Source organism: Homo sapiens, chromosome 18 (assembly GCF_000001405.40).
Source record: "Homo sapiens chromosome 18, GRCh38.p14 Primary Assembly".
Classification (NCBI taxonomy): Eukaryota; Metazoa; Chordata; class Mammalia; order Primates; family Hominidae; genus Homo; species Homo sapiens.
Genome location: NC_000018.10, coordinates 11487492 through 11506983, shown reverse-complemented (window position 1 = coordinate 11506983; position 19492 = coordinate 11487492). Strand labels below are relative to the sequence as shown.

The window sequence follows — 19492 nt, the reverse complement described above, 5'->3', positions numbered from 1 at the left end:
GCCAGTTCGAGAAGATTGGTTTTATTTGTTGTTGCTGCTTTATTTTGTCATTTTGCCTCTAAGCTGTTTCTAGATATCTCAGAAGCTCCGCCTCCTGGACTGTGTGTAACGTGTCTTGTACAGTGGGTAAGCAGTTAACCTGGAGGCAGAAGTTCCTCATGTTTGTAGGTTTGAGGTCTGTATCATAACATTGTAGGGAGATGACCTTTTATCACAGCACAGACATTCTGTGAAAATAGGACATTGTAATTTTAAAAATGGGTCTTCCCCCGGAAAGGGAAAGACAAAGCTTTCCCCAGTCTCCCCTTTTGCAAGCCTGGGTTGTCCACTCAAGCCGACGGGCTCACCTAACAGTTCCAGGTTCACACAGAGTCAGGTGGTGGTTGGATGAGGGGGGTCTGTCCTCATGCTCAAGGCTTCCTTCTAAAGGCTCCTCTACATTTGAAAAGTTCCTGTAACAGTATTTAATGTCACTGAAATTACTGTTAGTTCGGCTGGAAAATTCTGGGGAAAAATATACCATGGGAAAAGAAGGGTTAAGTCATTGAGCCCCTGCACTAGCTGGGTTGGAGCCCCTAAGGATTCTGGAAACACTCATTTAAGAACTGACTTGATGTGATTCATTGCAGGTGAACAGATACGTCATCATTTATTTTAATGTAGAAAATAGTATTAATGAGTCTGAAGCCCCTGACGCAGCTGGGACTAGAGTGTGCCCTGCTTCTGGCAAGACATGGTGGTTGCATGGGCACAGGGTGGCCAGCACCCCTCCTCAGGTGCGCTTTTTTGTGGTTCTGAAGTCAGCTATGCAGGAGGGATCTCTTACCAGTCTACACGATCTTCCTGATAGCATCACCTCCCCCTCCCTAGGGAGCATCTACATCTTGGCCAAACATTATGAACTTAATATTTAATGTTAAAAGAGAAACTGTTTAGAAAGTCTAGAAACCTCTCATGTGCCTCGTGGCAATTATAAGATCCCTGGGCCCCCCTTAAACAAAGAGCTTTGTTCTTTTAAAGCAATTACCAGAAGTAAAAAAGCAATAATGCCAGTAAAACCTTTAAAGGCACATGTGCAGGAAGACAATTGGAGTTCAGGCTGTCTGTGGGTAGCTGGTGATCTAGCCATGGCACAGGAAGATGCTGTCTTCTGGAGGGTGAAATCTTAGTGTCCCTACAGCCATTGCTCCTGCAAACCCCATCTGTGGTTGGTGGAGACATTAGCATTTAGTTGACACTTTTAACCTTGGTTGAATGGAAGGTATTACATTACTATGGAGCATCCTCACATCTTGACGTATTGTCTACTAGGTTGCCAGCATCTTCAGCAGCAAGCTATAGTTAGGTTAGTCAAGTGATTCAGTCAGCAAAAATGGTGAGGTCGCCAGGCACCATGGCTCACACCTGTAATCCCAGCACTTTGGGAGGCCAAGGTAAGAGAATGACTTGAGGCTAGGAGCTCAAGACCAGCCTAAGCAACATAGGGAGACCCCGTATCTGCAAAAAATAAAAAAATTAGCTGGGTATGATGGCGCACACCTGTAGTCCCAGCTACTCAGGAGGCTGAGGTGCCAGGATCCTTTCAGCCCAGGAGTTTGAGGCTGCAGTGAGCTGTGACTGCACTACTGCACTCCAGCCTGGGCAACAGAGTGAGATCTGTCTAAAAAAGAAAAAAAACGTGGTGAAGCATTAGGAAAGAATTTTGCTTGTGAGTTGCCCTTTGGTGGTTGGAAGGAAGCTCGTGTCCTGGCTTCCATACTTGCAGCATCTGCCCCATGCTGCCTTCTTAGCCCCACCTGCACCCATCCGAAGCTCTGTCCATGGTGCCACCCCTCCCGCCTTTGGTGCATGTCCTTCAGCCTGGAGTGATTTCTCAATGTGGCCGCCACCTTCACTGCATGCGAGCTCCTTGTCTCCAGAGCCTACCTGCAGCTTTGACTTTCTCTTTCTGGAGAAACCCCTCCCCAGGATCTGGTTTTCTCTGGCAGGCACTGTCCTCACTGCAGAAAGCTTGCCCTTCCTCCTTTCCATGCTTCATGCTAACTTCAAATCCTTGTCTTCAAAGTTCTTTTTTCTCCCCATTTTCCTCACTCTCACACCTGTCCCAATGTTTTCGATGTCAAATGGGCTACATTTGTAGTCTTGGTCAAGAATTCCTGTTGAATAAGAGCGGGATGTCTCTCTTTCTCTCTGTGTTTTTATTGAGATGATCAGATTTATGTATGTGTATGTGGGAGCTGTTTTAAAAACTTAAAATTATGCAAGACCTCTGTAAACTTATTTTCATTCATCTGAATACATGATTTACTTACCTTAGTTAAAAATGACAGAAGGCCCTACTTATATTTCTACAGTTTGTTTTCAGACAACATGACATTTAAAGATCTTTTCATGTTAGTACATGTAGATTATCCTAATTCTTTTCAACCTTTGCATGTAATGCTATGCTATGAATTCACTGTTGTATAGAAACATTTCCCTACTGATATTGGGACTAAAGAGTACATTCCTATAAAATATTTTAATCATTTAAAAACACTTCTGTGTTTCTGTGCTTTCTGTAGAAAGTAAAAATGTTATGTTTTAAGAATTCCACCATTGAAGGGTATTAGTCACATGAAGATAAAGAGTAACTTCGTTTTGTAAAATAATCAGTTCCAGTTTCCTGTGTTTAAATATATACATGTATTTAGTTTGATACATATATATTTAATTTGTATGTATCATATAGATTTATGACTTGGGGGTATAGTGCAGATGTGTTACATGGATATATTGTGTAGTAGTGAAGTCTGGGTGTTTAGTGCACCTGTTGCTTGAATAGTGAACATTGTACCCTATAGGTAATTTTTCAACCCTCACCCCCATCTCACCAGTGTCTATTATTGCACTCTATAAGTCCCTGTGTACAATGGAACAAAAACTCTGTAACAAGTGCTATGCCTGGCATTGCAGACACACAGAGATGAATAGGGCTGTACCCTGAGGAGCCTCAGACAACCTAGACCACTGGTAATACAAGGCAAGGGAAGAAGTAGTATTGTCTTCTAAAATAGGAACAGCTGGTTTTGACTTGGGACCAGGCATAAGGGGACAGACCTGGGTCTGGGGAACAGGCTGTGGGTAGGGTGTTCCTGGGAGTTGGGAAATCAGCCTCAGATCTGCAAGAAGGAGCTTCTCTTCATCCTTAGGCGGTGGGTGTCTTCAAATGAGAGGACCCGGGAGCAGCAGGTTCTTGGACCACTGAAGGCTGTGACAAAGGTTAATAAACACCCTCTGCCCCCAATCCCACCTCGAGATAACAGCCATGTATGTGCTCTTCAGCACCTTCTGGCTCAGAGGTCATTTAAAAATTTTTTTTACAAGAATGTAATATGTAATATGTATATGTATATTTGGTGTGTGTGTTTATCTTTATATATACTGGTACTCTTGTTTTCACTGGACCGATTTATAAGAATGAACTGAAGTTTATATATATATATTTTTTTTTTGCTGCAGATCATATTCCAGCCAATAGCTTAAGAGCACAAATTGTGGTCTCCTGACAGTAACTGTGCATGCTGTATGGTTTTTAACATCGTTTTAATCAGTAACTATTCATTTTCTTATTCCGCTTTTTCTCATTTCACATTATCTTATGCATCCTTCTTTACATAGCTTCCTAACCTCCATATTTACCACTTTTTAATAACTTTCTATCCTTTCTTTGATAGAAAGGCTCAGTACAGGCTGACAGTTCCTCAGCTGTTGGGTTTAACTGGTGAGGAGGGGAAGGGCCCTTGGGAAAGAAGTCTCACTTATTGATCTTTCTCTTCACACCTGTGCACAGGTGCAATGGCTGGATTTACTGAAATGATAGAGAAAAAAACCCACCATGGTACTGTTTAACACAAAGTACTTAAGCATACTCTAGGTTCTTTGAGCAGGAGATCCTGAAACATTTGGGGTATATTTTACTAACAGAAAAAAGTACAAGTCTTCCAATATGTAAACACAATTGAATTTACTATAAATTAGAGAAAAGATTAGTGAATTCTTATTTCTTATTTTCCAATTATCCCATCTACAGCACTTTGAGGCTGCTTGCTGTTCTGACATCTTCCATAGTGTTTCATGGTCTTGAAATTTTATAAGAATTTAGAAAAAGACTAATTACTTAGCTACTGAGGGCTTCAAAGAGCTTGGTTCAAATTGAATATCTGGCTTACAATATGGAATCACCCTATTGCTTTTTCCTTCTATTGTCAGATCACTTGGTCATTTTGAAAAAGCTGCATACAGTGATACTAGAAAAAAATTATTTGCTTGGTAGCTTTTGTTAGCTTCTTAGAACATCTGTTATCAAGCTAAGTTCATCATTCCTGGAGAGCAACTAAAGCCCTAACCAAATGTGACTTCACTGCCCATGTCATGGAAGACGATGGAGTTGGATTGGAATGTTGAGTGTTTGCCTTTGGTTTCTGAGGTCTGCTCTCCAAAACAACATGGTGAAAATTGAGTTGTACACTTTACTTTTCCAGAAAGCACTGGGTATATATGATACCCAATTGGTTTAAGAACCTCAGATTTCAGGAGGCAGCTCAGTTATCTCCCTGTAATAACAGCCAATTCCACAAACCAGTTGTTTGATATGTGGGGCTTGCAGGCCCCCTGGTTTGGGGATGGAAACAAAAACACCAAATTGGAGTTGGCCTGAAACACAGCTACCCCTGAACACTCAGCTGTCTCTGGTCACACGGGCTTGGCTTTGGAGACTGGGTTATAGCCTAGAGAGGACACGAGTCAAGTCCTTGATGCTACACGATGGAAGGACATAAGGGCCTGGTCGTGGCAGGTCCATGGGACTCTAAAAATGAAGAGCAACATCATGGAAAATATTGTGACTTAAGAGAGCATCTAAGAGGCAAAAAAAAGTGATTTTTTTCCCAAAGCAATGTAGACGAGGTGTTACTTAGGAAGGTGTTAAATTGAAGTAACACTTGGCCCATTTGAAAAATCACAGGAATACCAATACAAAATGGGAAGGGACTGAAGAATTTGCTTCCTGATGAGGCAACATTAACTTTGGAATTAGGTACATCTGGCTGCACTAATAGTGGTTTTCCAACTCACTGGCAGTGTTTATCAAAATGCAGATTCCTAGGTTCTTGCCCAGATCTAGTGAATCATGATCTCTTGAGGAGGTTCCCAGGTATCCTAATCTTTAGTGAGCTCTCCAGGTGATTTTAAAACACAGCTAAAGCTTTTAAGAGCTTACGATGTGCCAGGCACTGTTTCGACTGCTTGCTATGCATGATCTCACTTAGAATGTAAAATGATGGTACGAGCTCAGTATTATCATCTGTGTTTCATAGCCAAGGAAGCCAAGGCTTAGAGTAGCCATTGGACTTGCCTGCAGTCACACAGTGGATGATGGAGCAGGGATGTAAACACATGCAGCATGTCTTTAGAGTCCACACTCCTAAGCACCATGGTGCCTGCTCAGCTTTTTATGCTCTTTGTACTCTGGGAACCACTAAACAAATTAATTAACTTCTCTGGCTGTCAATTTCCTCATTGGTAAAACGGATACAAACAAATTTAAAAGTGTAAAGCCTGTAATGGTAAATCTTGATAATGAAGAGAAGTCCAGCAGCTCTACTTTCTTAGGCTATGAAGAACATCTTTGTGATGCAATGTTCTATATTTGTGGTTTGCATTTATGGACAAACTTCAAATATGGGAATGATAGTAATAATGAAGAATTTTTTTTAGTATAGTATGCTTTCTTAGATGTCCCCTGTGCTGAGCAATTTCACTGTGGCTAAATCTGGATCCCTTCTAATCTTTGAAAATTTCCGTTTTCTTTATTTGATTTTTCTACGTTTAAAAACTTTTAGCCTGATAAAGAAAAGATGCCCTCTTCTTGGGGTCAAATATTTAAAGGCCAACCAGTTTAAACACAACTATCTGTATAAGCAATAGTAAATACACCATCCCTTTGTCTATAGTGAAGAACTTTTGACCGGTGACCTGCTCACCTTTAGAAAATACATGAAAGCCTCCAGGCCTCTATTTTTTGCCCTGGCAAAGATAACTTGCCAGGAATCTTTACAGAGGATAAAGAGAATCACTTGTTTTTAAAATTAAAATCTTTTTTTTTTAAGGTGACAAATCTATCCTTTCAAATTTAAGAGCAGGAACTTAATTCAACAGTACACTTACAAATTTACTGCCTGTTGCTAAGGCTAAATTTGACAAGGTGATCTTTTATTAGTCATTCGGCCAGAAAAAAAAAAAATGGAATCTCCGTCAAGACTTTGCTCTTTCCAGCCGCACAGGGTGACTCATGTGAGGTTGAAAGCAAGTAGCTTTGGGCAGGACTGCCCTGGGGCACAGCTGTGACCTCTAGTTTTGGTGAGTCACAAAAATAGCTGTAGCTTACTTCCACTTGTCCATTCTCATGAGGCATTTAAACAATGTGAATTGATGAACCACAAACTGATTTTTGTTAAGGGTTTCAGTACCTTTCCTAGAAAAACGTTTCTAGCATGACCTGTAAGTAGGCAGAGTAAGTCGCCCTCTCATCTATCTCTAGGAGGCAAGTTGTCTCTTCTAGAAGACAAATAATGAGTGAAATTGCTGAAGTCAGGCTGGTTGAGGACAGGGCAGGGGAGGAGAGGGAATCTACTTGACTGATAACTCAAGAATATACTATCCCTCCTGAATAATCCAGCCTGTTGCAAAAGTTTGCATAAAAAGGGTGAAATCATTGACTGATATTAGTGAATATTTATCAAGTGCCTGCTATATGCCAGGTCCTGGCTACACACCGTGATTTGTACAGAAAACAATGAAACCTGAAGTGGTTCCTAAGCCCAAAGATGTGGAGCCTCGGAACATGCAGTCACATACACACAGAGGAAGTGCGGAAGCCCAGCAGTGGCCAGCGCTTCCAGGAGAGGCCGAGAGCCGGGAAGCGTGGTGAGGGGCTGAGCTAGACGGGACACTCAGGAAAGCCTTTCTGGAGGGGTCATGTTTCAGCTGAGATCTGAAGGAGAAATAGGGTTGAACTTGCCGAAGGATGAGGAGTACCTTCTGAGTAGAGGGAAAATGTCTTCAAGGCCTGGTGGAGGTGGCAGAGGTGGGGAAAGGAATGGTTTGTCTGATGAGCTGAAAGCACTGGGTGTCGCCGGTGCTTGGGCATCCTGGGGTGGGGGGAGTAGGGTGCAGATGGAGTGAATGACTTAGGCAGGAGAAGACCACGAAGAGCCTATGGGCTTTATACCTGGAGTTGGGGTAAGCTGCGGAAGGATTTTAGGCAAAGGGTGGTAAAATCAGGTTTGCATTTTGTAAAGAACTTTCTGTTCACCATGTGGAGAACAAACGCAGATGGACAGGCCAGATGTATGGAGACAAATCAAGAGGTTGCGGCATGGGCAGGCATGGTTTCTAGGATGAGGGTGGTGGTGAGGATGGAGACAGAGAAACCTAGGAAGGAAAATCTCCCTTGACTGGGAGAGAGACAATTTACACACAGTGAGAGAGAGAAAGACTGGATTGACTGCCAGCGTTGAAGCATCTCCAAATGGTGGATGCTGGTTTTACTCAGAGAGGAACCACTGGAAGCAGACTAAGGTTGTTATTGTGGGAAATGTTACGAATTCAGAAGCATATAGTGTTGAAGTGTGTCTTTCTGATATCCCAATAGAGACAGCTAGAAAGACATCCATCTAGCTATATAGCTCTGGATCTCAGAAGAGTAATCAAGATTGGACAAAGGAATTTGGGAGTCTCTGTATGGCCATGGGTATTGATAGAGTGTGAAAGGAATGAACTATAAATGAACTTTGAGAAATTACAACATTTAATGACTGGGTGGAGGAGGATGAGCCAGCAAGGAAGATTGAGAGGGACATGCAGGAGGAAAACCAAGAGAATATAGTTTCCTGGAAACCAAAGGAAGGTGGTATTTCAAGGAGAGAGAATAATAGTCAATGGTGCCAAAAGCTACAGATGGTCCAGTAAGATGAGGAGGGAAGAAATTCCACTGGATTTAGCAACACAGAGATTCTCAGTAACTTCAGGAAGATTAACTTCAGAAATTAATGTGAAATCCAAGGGCAGGGGCACGTTTTACCCAATGCAGACTATAACAATATTTTTAGGGCACTAATCATAAAGTTTAAAGCACAGATACATACTGACCTCTGGCTGACTGATTTCAGAGATATGCCATATGGATATTTCTGGAAAGATTTGTAGCTTTCTGGACAAACAATGGGGTGGGGAAGAAACGTAGCAAGTTTACGTGTGGGCGAAAAGAAAAGCAGTCAGAAGCCCTGAGTGTTAGTCTTTGCAGCCAAAATTCAAAAGCAGGCCAGGTGATCAGAGGTGCAGCTCTTGCATCTCTAAAGCTGCAGGGCTAGGATATAATTGCCAGAATCTATGAAAGTGTGAGTGCTGTGGGTTTTGCCCATGAAGGCAGAAAGGTGCAAGTGAGGGTCTTGTCCATTCTATTGCCAGCCATATTAGTCTGTTCTCATGCTGCTAATAAAGATGTACCCAAGATCAGGTAATTTATAAAGGAAAGAGGTTTAATGGACTCAGAGTTCCACATGACTAGGGAGGCCTCACAGTCATGGCAGAAGTCGAGGGGAAAAGCAAAGGCACGCCTTATATGGCGGCAGGCAAGACAGCTTGTGCAGGGGACACAATTTATAAAACCATCAGATCTTGTGAGACTTATTCACTACCACAAGAATCAACTCCATGATTCAATTATCTCCCCCGGTCCCACCCTTGACTCCTGGGGATTACTAAAATTCAAGGTGAGATTTGGGTGGCGACACAGCCAAACCGTATCACCAGCTCTGCATTATACTGGGGGTAACTCTGCTTTTTTTTGTTGTTGTTGTTGTTTTGTTTTTTTGTTTGTTTTCAATTGGGAATGAGGCTGTCCTAGGTTTTTTTCCTGAGGTCATTTGCAGTTTTGAAATTGTAATAATTATGTTCATCAAGGTGAACATCTAATTTTGCATGCTCAATTAAGCTAATTTGGCATTTGCTGTCTTGTCTTCATCATTGGATGAGCTAATTTTTTGTACTTTTTTTTTTAATCACAGTATTTTGTCTCCCCACTTGCCTTTTAATCCTCTGTGCATGTGGCAGTGAGCTGTGGCTCTCCCTCACAGGATGAGGTCATGTTTGCTCCCCTGAGGCCTTCTTTGTGCAATCGTGGTCTCTGTATAACACCAAGGCCGCAATTTTCAGGAATAAACATAGATGGGAATGGATGATTCCCTGGTTTCATAAAACCTCTAAGCAACATTAGATAATACTCATTGATAGAAGTAAAACTGAATTATTCTCTGTGCCAGTAGTTTTTATGTCTCATAAGAGATTCTACTGGAGGGATCACTGGGTATTTCAAAGATGCTTGGAAACAACACGTTGATGGAATTGTCTTCAATGGAAAGTCATAAATGTTTGCTGATGATTTTTGGTGGGTCTATCAAAATCAATTAACCCTACCATTGTTGCATTTTGTGCTCACTTAAAAAAAATTATTGAAGAGGATGAATTTTGCAGCAAAGGGGCAAATACTCCTAAATACTGAAAACTCTTTGAATTCTAGAAGAATAGAAACCTGAGAATTGTTCTTCAATGGAAGAAATATTTAGAAAGGCAATTTTCATCACTTTGTATTTTTCCGTGAAAGTGGAATAATTAAAAACATAGTGATTTAAGCTGACTCAGAGTATGATGAAAGAAACATTAAATTTCTTCTGAGTGGGGTATTTAAAAATCATATTGAAATCTGAGGATGCTATGCAAGCTGTTAAAAGTTTATGTACTGGAATATGCACAACATATATGTTGCACAGGAAAAATATATTTTTTGATATAATGACATTTATGATATAAAATAGGACACAACTTCAACTTGGATGTTTAAGAGGAATTAAATGAGATCATGGCTGTAAAGTTCTCAGCACAGTGCCTGGCGCGGCACCAGTGCAGATGGCAGCTGGTGTTACAAGCCTCTCTCTTCTCTAAAGCACTCTTCACTAGAGCAATGCTGTTGACATGTCTGCAAGTCATGAGAACTTTTGGGAATCTTATGTACGCCCAATGTCTTTTCTCAAGACAAGCTGCACACTCACAAAGGCCAGGTGCATTGCCTCAAACTGACTGGCCCAGCTTGGGGCATTAACCAACAGTGGCCGAATATGAGATGTAATTTGTTTACAAGGTGCTTCAGCCGTTCTGTGGTGAGGTTGCATATTGAGTAGTTATCAGTTGACACATCTGACATTTTTTCAATGTCATAAAAGATTCTCGGTAACCTCAGGAAGATTGACTTCAGAAATTAATGTGTAATCCAATGGCAGGGACATATTTTATCCAATTTTTTTCAATGTTTTACATTGAAAAAATGTCAGATGAGTCAACTGGTAAAAATAAAAGGGATGTGTCATAAGATCAATCAGTAAAAACAAAGGGGTTGTATCATAAGAGGGAGAAGGGAAAGACTTGGATGGAGGAGGGGGCAGAGACAGAGAAGCTGCATCATGGCAATAATGGCATCAGTGGAGGGGCAGTCGTGGGCATCTGCTGATGAAGGGTCCTCATGGTCCAGTAAGATGGGGAGAGACCATGAGCTGTGTGGGGCTCAGACAGTACGGAGCCTACTTCATTTCTCCACTAGGCCTGGCTGTGTAGTTTCAGAGATGTCCTCTGAGTTTTCTTTCTTCATTATCATAAACCTCCAACACCTAAGGCTGTGCTTCTCAGAATTTCCAATGAAAGTGTCCCACAGTCTGATAGTCGAGATGGGGAGCCTTGGAGATCTGGAGATCCAGGCTGGAGCTGCAGGCAGCAAGCATGAGATTCCCTTCACTTTTTCTTAGGATCTCAAAAATGTACCTGATTTTCATACTTCAGTCTATAATAGGTTTATTTTAATGGGGGGAAGCCTGTCATCAAGGGAACAGATCCACTAAGAAAATGTGCTGCTATTTGAGTACCACATTTGGAGAATTGATTTGAGCAACCTGGCACATCTCTGTTCTTTACAAACTAAATGGCCAGAGAATAAGATGACTTCACTTTTTCCCAGAAAGTGGAGAGGGTCATTTGCAGTCTCTTGTAAAGATTGAAAGGGGGTCTGTAAGCCAAGCTACAGGCTCTCCTCATGCAGCTGGTCCTGGGATCCTAATTAGTATTTATCATTTTCTTTCTTTACTGCCCATTCAAGATTCTTCACTACTAACCAACATTTCAGCCGGTCTGACCAATTGGATAATCCAGGCCTTTAGCCCTGAGGGGTCTGAACTCTTAGTCGCCTTGCTTTTATAGGCGTGTGATTGAAGACATTGCTATTTCCGGCTGCCACGGAGCATGGAGGCACCTTGTGGGGCTGTAGGCAACAATGCAGCTGTGGAGAGATGCATAAACTACACTTGGCATGACAGCCCACTGTGGACAGTGGTGGTTCAGAGTCCTTGATATTTTGCTCTTTTCAGGTAATGTTTCTTAGACGCATTTCCAAGTAGCAATAGAATTCACACATGGAGCAGTTCATTTTTAGCTTCTCTACTTCTCTACAGTGTTTTAAGTACACTGATATGTTATAATTTCTTTAGTCAGTATTCAACTACAAGATACTTATCTCTATATTATTTTTTGGCTCACAGTTTTTGGGATATCCAGCTTACTTGGGCAATACTTCTCAGTGATCTTTCCAGTTGGATATTTGAAAATACAGTGGAAATAATTACATCTTAGTCACAAAAATCTACTTGATGTTATATCAGTTTATAAAAGAGGAGATGTAGACTTCCAAAATTTCAAAATCAGAACTTTTAGTAATCATCTAAAGTTATTTCATAAATTAAAAAATAATTCCAAGGATTTAATGATATGCTTTACCATAATCACAGTAAGTTGTGCAAACATATTCATAGAAATCATTAGTATATGTTAAGTACCATGCTAAGCAGTTTACTGGTATAACCTCATATAATAATCACCTGTGGTTATCCACATTTTATAGATAAGAAAATACATCCAATCAGTAGTGGAGCTGGGACTCAAAACTGAGATTGTGGAGACAGCAAATCCCATCTCACAAGGCCAGCGAGAAGACATCAGGTCAGCTTCAAAGTAAAGGCATTAAAAGACATGTAGGAACACCTTTAGGCATAAGATGGGCCCCAACCATCTGCATTTATGCTGAACCCACTGAAATGTCAAACATCAAATCCCTTTAAAAACTGTACTCTGCTGAGTCTAAGAACAAGAACTGGATTTCACCACATAAGGCCATATGTCTGCAGCCCTCCAATTCTCATGGAAGCATTTTGAAAGCACTTTCACTCCAAAACAAGTAAAAAAGATTGCTCTAATCAGCAACTCAACAATTTAAACTACATGTTGGCTTAATTAAAATACTTAGATCACAGTTGGATATTATTTCTCTATTGAAATACTTTCCACAAGGATATCATTTTTTGTGAGGTAGATTAGTAAATAGATGAAGGTAAAATATCTGAGACATGGGCTCATTCATTGGACAGAATTTATTGTATTCCCTTTGGAGTTGTTGTGGGATAATGACAGGAATGGAAACATGCATTCACATAACAATCATTTACTCATTTATCAAGAATGTATTCAGCTGGTGCTATGTGGCAGACATCCTGTTAGTTGCTATGTCTACAGATAGTGCAAAGTACTATTTTCTTAGTACAGTGCAGATTGTTTTAAAGTGTCACTAATGAGGTATTTCCATAGTTCATCTGTAGAAGCAGTGTTTTTAGAAGTTTACTGTTCTGTACTTTTATTCTTTAATAGTTATAACAATTATATAAAAGGACTAGGGATGTCATCTTACAGTTATGGAATGTTAGATTTGGAATTACATCAAGGACACCTTCTTCATTCCACAGATAGGGAACTGAGGCCAGGAAGCACAGTGACCCAGAAAAGTTTGCAGAACAATTTAGAGGTGCAGGCAGGAGTGAAACCAAGCCTCCTTATTTCTACCTTGTCCTTATTTTACTACTCTACTGAAAATAAAGTCATAAATGTTTATCCTCAAGGTGAGAAATCCATTTTAACCCATTCTAGATATATAATGTTATGAATATCTCCTGCAAAGCTCATAACTCTCCAAATAATCTCAACGGGTTGAGCATGCAATGCCAAGAAATTCTTCATTATAAACTAAATAGTTCATTAAGATATTAAATCCATACCTGCTTTGTATTTTTTAATGAAAAAGTATAACAATAGATGATTCACTTAATTTTGATAAATGTTCATTATAAACAATAAATTCCTCCAAATTTTATAAATTTTTGGGGCGTATTTTGAGGCTATTTGGAGCAACAAATATTCAGTTTTAGATGATATATTGTATATATATAACAAATATGTGTCAGATTATGTATAACATATGGTCAGCCCTCCATACTTGTGGGTTTTACATTCACAGATTCAACCAACTGTGGATCAAAAATATTTGGGAAAAAAAGGATGATTACATCTGTACTGAACATGTGCAGATTTGTTTCCTTGTCATTATTCTCTAAACAATACAGTGTAACAACTATTTGCCAACATTTACATGGCATTAGGTATTATAGATAATGTAGAGATGAGAGTGTACAAATCCTAAAAAGAGACTACCAGATAAGCCAATAAAGTGATATTCAAGATAATAAAGAACTGATAATTATAAGATCACTGCCACCAATAATTCCTCAGTGACTGAAACCTGAATATAAACTTGTAACATGAATGGTTCTTCTGAAAATCTCACAGACTCCAATTTGGCAGTGATGAATAACCTTGCAGGGTTTTGAGGCAAAGGCTTTAAATGGAGAATAAAATGACTATTAAAGAGAACACAGGCTCTTCGTGGTCTTCCCCTGAATTAGTACAGGGGAGGATGTGCATAGGTTATATGAAAATACTTTGTATCAGAGACTTGAGCATTCATGGCTTTTGGTATTTGAGGGAGGGTCTTGGAACAAATTCTCCAGCAACAACAAGAGACAGCTATATTTGTCCAATCTAGGTCACCTACAACTTTGGATGTCTTTCTTTCTTCTATCATATATCTCTATCTATCTATCTATCTATCTATCTATCTATCTATCTATCTATCTATCTATCCACACACACACACACACACACACACACACACACGTTGTAGTTTGGTTTCCACTGGAAACAGACTCTGATATTTACATGCAGATAGCTGGTTTAATGGGAAATAACACTATTTCCCACTAAGGCTGAGGAACAACACCTATTGGAGGTGAGAAGATTGGGTTGGGCCAGGAGGTATTAATATTGGAAACTCGATGGGATTGCAACAGTGGCCTCAGCCAATTCTGCAAGGAGCTCTGGGACTAGGTTGGCTTTTCAGAGTTGTCCAGCCTTGAGACAAGGAGCCCGGGCCTCTAAATGTCCCCAGCCCCTGTCTAGTCATTGGAAAAGGGATTCCTCTGGGCATGGAACAGGAGTTTAGGAGAGGAGTAGAGTTGGTCTGGGACCTGTCTGCTGCTCTATAAAATAGTCTTTGAAGAATGAGTGACTGAAATCACATTGAGAAAATGAGACTTGAGGCAATTGGTGAGTAGATGTTATTATACTTAACATAGTTGATAAGGCTGAAGGTAGAGAGATGAGTTATAATTTTGACATGTCTCCTTTTTACTTTTCTGACAATGCAATCCAGATTCTTTTGCTGGAAGGGAGACGTTTAAATGGCATAAGCCTTCCCCTTGATTGTCTGGAGCTGTGGTTGGGAAGCCCAAACAGGCAATGACTGCGGATCAATTGCCGCATTGAAAAAAGTTTTATTCAACATTAACTTCTTAGCAGGACTTTGGAAATTGGCCCAGTTCTCTATTGGCTTAGCAAATGCCTGGAAAATGGGACTTAAAAACAATAACATAAATCAAAGGGTTAGGACAAGGAGATATGGATGTCTGGGAGAACAGCTACAGGTTCTTGAAGATTAAGCTTTTCCTGTGCAGTTTGGTATCACAGCCTGATAAGCAATGCGTTTGGGAGGTTGATCCTGCTTGAGAGTAGGATAGAGAAATTAGGAAAGAAATTAAGAGTTCTAAAGGGAATTTTTTTAGATTTAGGAAGGTAAATAATTCAAAATAACAACTCTAAAAATTAAAAAAATCTCAAATGTCTTATGTTCATCATTATGGAAATAATGTTTATCTTCTATCCAAGTCATAATCACAAGATGTGATTAGAGATATTTGTGACATATTTGAATAGTCTTGGGCCTCCAGGATGTTGAAGATCAGAAAACTGTGTCATAGCTGGGATCATTGAGAGAAAAGAGGGTGTTCAGCCTGGACCCCTTCTAACAAGAGAGCTGATGATGTCCTTTGAATATGAAATTCTGATGTGCACAAAAGAAAATAAACTTATTTACATCATGTTGCTCCAGAGAAAAGAACAGGAAGCAAAGAGAAGACACAGGGAGAGAGATTTTGATTCAACCTAAGAAAGCACCTTCTGACATTAGTGTCAGGGAGACCTGGGGAAGTGGCTCTCCTCCCACTGGACGTCCTCCTGCAGAGGGAGGTGACCATCTGCAGGGACCCTGAGGAGGCGTTTTCTAGACTGAACGGGACAGCAGGCCATATATCCGCTAAAGGCCTTCCTTATCCTGGGATTTTACTACTCTGGGTCCTCAGAGACAAATTTTTCATGGTGGTTCCATTTTGTTTTTAGATATCACACCACCATGACCATGACTAGGTTGGCATGTAAAGGGGGCAGTCATTAGACATGGCCTCTTCGCCTGCAACTGCGATGTTGGTGTGGCCCAGAGAAGGGGGCAAGGCCTTGTAGTAGAAAGAGTGTGGATTTGGAATCGGGCAGTTTTACATTTAAATTCTAGCTGTTATGTTGCCTTGTATAAGTCATGCCACTTTTCTAATTATTCGACTTCTCTGCATAATACCTAAGTTAATTAGTACTTGAGTAATGATACTTAAGTTAGGTGACAGGAACTATTCGAAAGTGCCTAGCTCCCAGCAGGCGTCCACAAATGCGAATTTCTCTTTCTCCAGGACTCTGAGTGTTTCCCTTCCGATTGCAGTTATTACATGATCGCACATAATGTTCAACAGCTCAGCTCCCTCTGGTACTTCCTTCTGCCAAAACTAGGTCTCAGAGACTCACTGTGGCTGAAAAAAGTCAGGAAGGAAAATAGGCCAAGAGGCAAAGCACAGCCTGGCCTGGTATCTCTCATCTTCTTCAGAACCCAGAACATCACCTTTCCCACTAAGTTGCCTCCTTTATTTCTTACTTCTCTTTGTGACATCATCATTGTCCACATCATCTGGCCCCTGGTCCCATCTGTCTTGGGCAGGTGGCTGGAAATTTGAGCCAGTGTCCCGGGGAGATACTACCAGACTTCCTCCACGGAAGACAGGAGCATAAATGACTGGAAGAGCGGAGAGCTGGATGGAGTATGGTGCAAGGAACAGGTGCAGGTTGAACATTCCCGTCACACTGTGAAGTCCCCTGACATGGGACCTCCATCCCTGTTGCCTCTCCCAGTACCCTGAACGTGCCTGGATGTTGGCGGGATAGATGGATAAGGAAATCTGTCACTTCAGTAGAGTTTGGGAAATGCTCTTCTAAAAATTTAAAAGAGATGATAAAAATCTGATATGACATTTTACATGAGAGAGAAAAATCTAAATACTTACAAGGAAATCAATACAGTTCCTCTGTGATGATATTGTTGAAAATACCAGAGACTCTTCATGGTTTGCTCAGCATTTGTTTGTATAAATCTGAGTCTATGACATGCGTCACTATGAGGGAGGACCCTTTCACTGGTTCTATGTGCTGATGTCCTGGATATACCAGGGGCTGCTACCAGTGGTTTGGACCTGCAAGCCTCTCTGCACAGTTGCCGTGGGGAATGGAGCTGCTTGCATTATTTCTCACTTCTCTTTGTGACATCATCATTGTCTACATCATCTGCCTCTGGTCCCTCCTGCAGGCCTAGGCATCTTGGGCAGGTGACTGAACACTGGAGCCAGTGTCCCTGGGAGATAGGGAAGTCCCTCCCCATGAAGGGACCTAGGTTCTTTGTATCCTCTCCTGTAGTCCTGGGCCAATAACTGACTGCTTTATGGAAAACACACACACACAAAACAAACAAACAAACAAAGAAACCACCTTGCATTCATGCCCCAAGACTGAGCAGACCCTGTGGTACAGTTTATTCCCCAGAGGCCCCATGGGATCAAGCTGAAGCCCAGCTGCATCGGAGACCACATCCTTTTTCATTTTTCTTTCCTCCCTTCCCAATATGGCTCCCACCGACCCCTACATGTTTCTTGTGAGTGCACTCCATTGATAAATGTCTTGCACAAACATCCCCTTCTCAGGTTCTGCTCCAGGGAACTGTACCCAAGACACTACCAGCATCTGTCCCTCAATGCCACACACCTGTCATCCCACACATCAAAAGGAATCCCACGTAATAGGATACAAGCACAACTGCAAACACACTCACTGCCCCCGCCCCCTCCAACAAGGAGACAAATGAAAAGTCCATCACTCATCCAGAGAAGACTTTTTAGAGCCACTGTTCTTGGAGCCTGTTACCTCTGGGTGAGATCCATTTTCCCCCTATTTCTGTTTTAATTTTTTATATTTTCAAAATGAGAAAAAAAGGTGGGTGCAATGGCTCACATCTGTAATCCCAGCACTTTGAAAGGCTGAGGTGGGAGGATCACTTTAGGGCAGGAGGCTGAGGCAGGAGAATGGCTCGAACCAGGGAGGCAAGGTTGTAGTGAGCCATCATGCCATTGCAGTCCAGCCTGGGTGACAAGTGAAACTCCATCTCAGAAAAAAAAAATTGATAAAGGAGGAAGGCTGAACAAATCACCAAGATCATGTCGCAGGTTGGTTGAGACTAGAGGCTTCTACAGGGATGATGAAGTAAATGAAATGACTGACAACTCTCATAAATGTTAATTTGATGATTAATCTATTTGATAACAAAGTAAATTACCTGGTCACCCAGAAAGACTGCCACAGACTCTGTCCTCCGGGAGAATTTTGCTTGGCCATTGTTCTTCCAGAGCATCTCGGAGATTCTCTCTGTGGAGGTGGGACAGGGAGGTCTTAGTCACAATCACCCATTACCAACATCATTTATACTTATGCTTGAACATTTCAGGGGGCTGTTAGTTTGAGGGATTTTTCTTGTGTGACCATTCTTGTAAAACTATGGTCAGCCATGTGCCAGTTTCATTTTTGAGAATTTTATTTGTCAGGATAGTGTTGAAACATCTTTGTGAATCTCCTGGCTGGCTATACTTTCAGGGCTAAGCCATACCTGTGAGTCTTCTGATTTTTAGAGGAAATTCTGGGGCTCCACCTATTTTCATGATTTTTTTCCTTAATGACCTCAGAGCATGAGCAGGATATTATAGATTGGAGTATTGGCATGGGTTTCAGGGTGCATTTCTTCGCAAATCTGCTTTGGAGTCTTGCCAAAATGTTGCATCACAGCCAACCGAGTATTACAAGGGGAGGAATCTTCATTTTCACTTGGTGGTGGAGAAGGTACATTCTGAAGGGCTTGCTCACATTTCTGGCTCCTCCTTCCTATATATCCTCATTCCAGTTGCTGGTAATCTTCAGTTTTTCAATCAGTTCATAATCTCTCTCTCTCTCACACACATACACCCCTGGTGGCCACCACAGTTTGTCCAAACTAATAGTGGATGCTGTGCTCTGATTCTCTGCGTCAGTGGGCTGTCCTCTATTCTCTTCTGGTGACTTCCATGGAGCAGCGTCGGCTGAGGCTTGCCACTTCTCTGACCTTTACTGAAGGCCATAAGGAATCGATAACTCAATCTGATATTCTGACATTTAAAATGATGAATTCCTCTAAAGTCTAGCTATCTGATGAAGTAAGACATCTGATTCCCAAGGAACAAGACATACTGCTATCGTTAAACGTGCATTGCAGCTCTCTATCCCAGGACAATAACTTCTTGCTGGTCCCAATCCACTCTGACACTTTTTCTCTGCAACCCCATTTTGAATACCAATTTAATATGAATTTCAGTGGTTTGACAGCAAGTGATAGAAATCCTCACAACCTAGTAGAAATCCTCAAAATCTACAGAAGACTAAAAGAGAATACAGTAGGATCTCCTGGAATTCTAGGGTAAGAGTAAACTTAAGCCTCTGTTCCATTTTGTGCTGCTGGGAAACCAACAACTCCAAAATGTAGTGGCATAGAACAACCATTTTATATGCTCTGACTACTGTGGGTGAGGAATTCAGACAGGACATGACAGGGCTGGCATGGGTTGCATGTACTCCACAATGTCTGGGCCTCCGCTGGAGGATTCAGAGCCTGGGGATATGCAGGCATCTGGGAACTAGAGTCCTGGAGATGTTATCATCTGTGTGTGTGGTGGCTGATGCT

General features: G+C 41.3%; 2 long non-coding RNA genes across 7 annotated transcripts in view; one reads left to right on the top strand and one right to left on the bottom strand.

Annotated features, from left to right (window-relative positions):
* On the bottom strand, positions 1-18414 carry LINC01255 (long intergenic non-protein coding RNA 1255). Of its 2 annotated transcripts, NR_110779.1 has the most exons (4): positions 18389-18414; positions 18062-18150; positions 348-452; positions 1-227 (listed from the first exon to the last, which is right to left on the bottom strand). It is a non-coding gene; the product is annotated as a long intergenic non-protein coding RNA 1255 (long non-coding RNA). The 2 variants fall into 2 exon arrangements; NR_110778.1 differs by lacking the exons at positions 18062-18150; positions 18389-18414 and adding an exon at positions 16743-16936.
* Positions 17046-19492, top strand: part of LOC107985173 (uncharacterized) — a 122834-nt gene continuing 120387 nt past the window's right edge. For 3 of the 5 annotated variants that reach the window (XR_007066289.1, XR_007066290.1, XR_007066291.1), the window contains exon 1: positions 17046-17658. This is a non-coding gene — a long non-coding RNA (uncharacterized LOC107985173). Of the gene's footprint in view, positions 17659-17861; positions 17952-19492 lie in introns of all 5 variants that reach the window. The other 2 variants (XR_001753357.3, XR_001753355.3) reach the window with 1 other exon arrangement.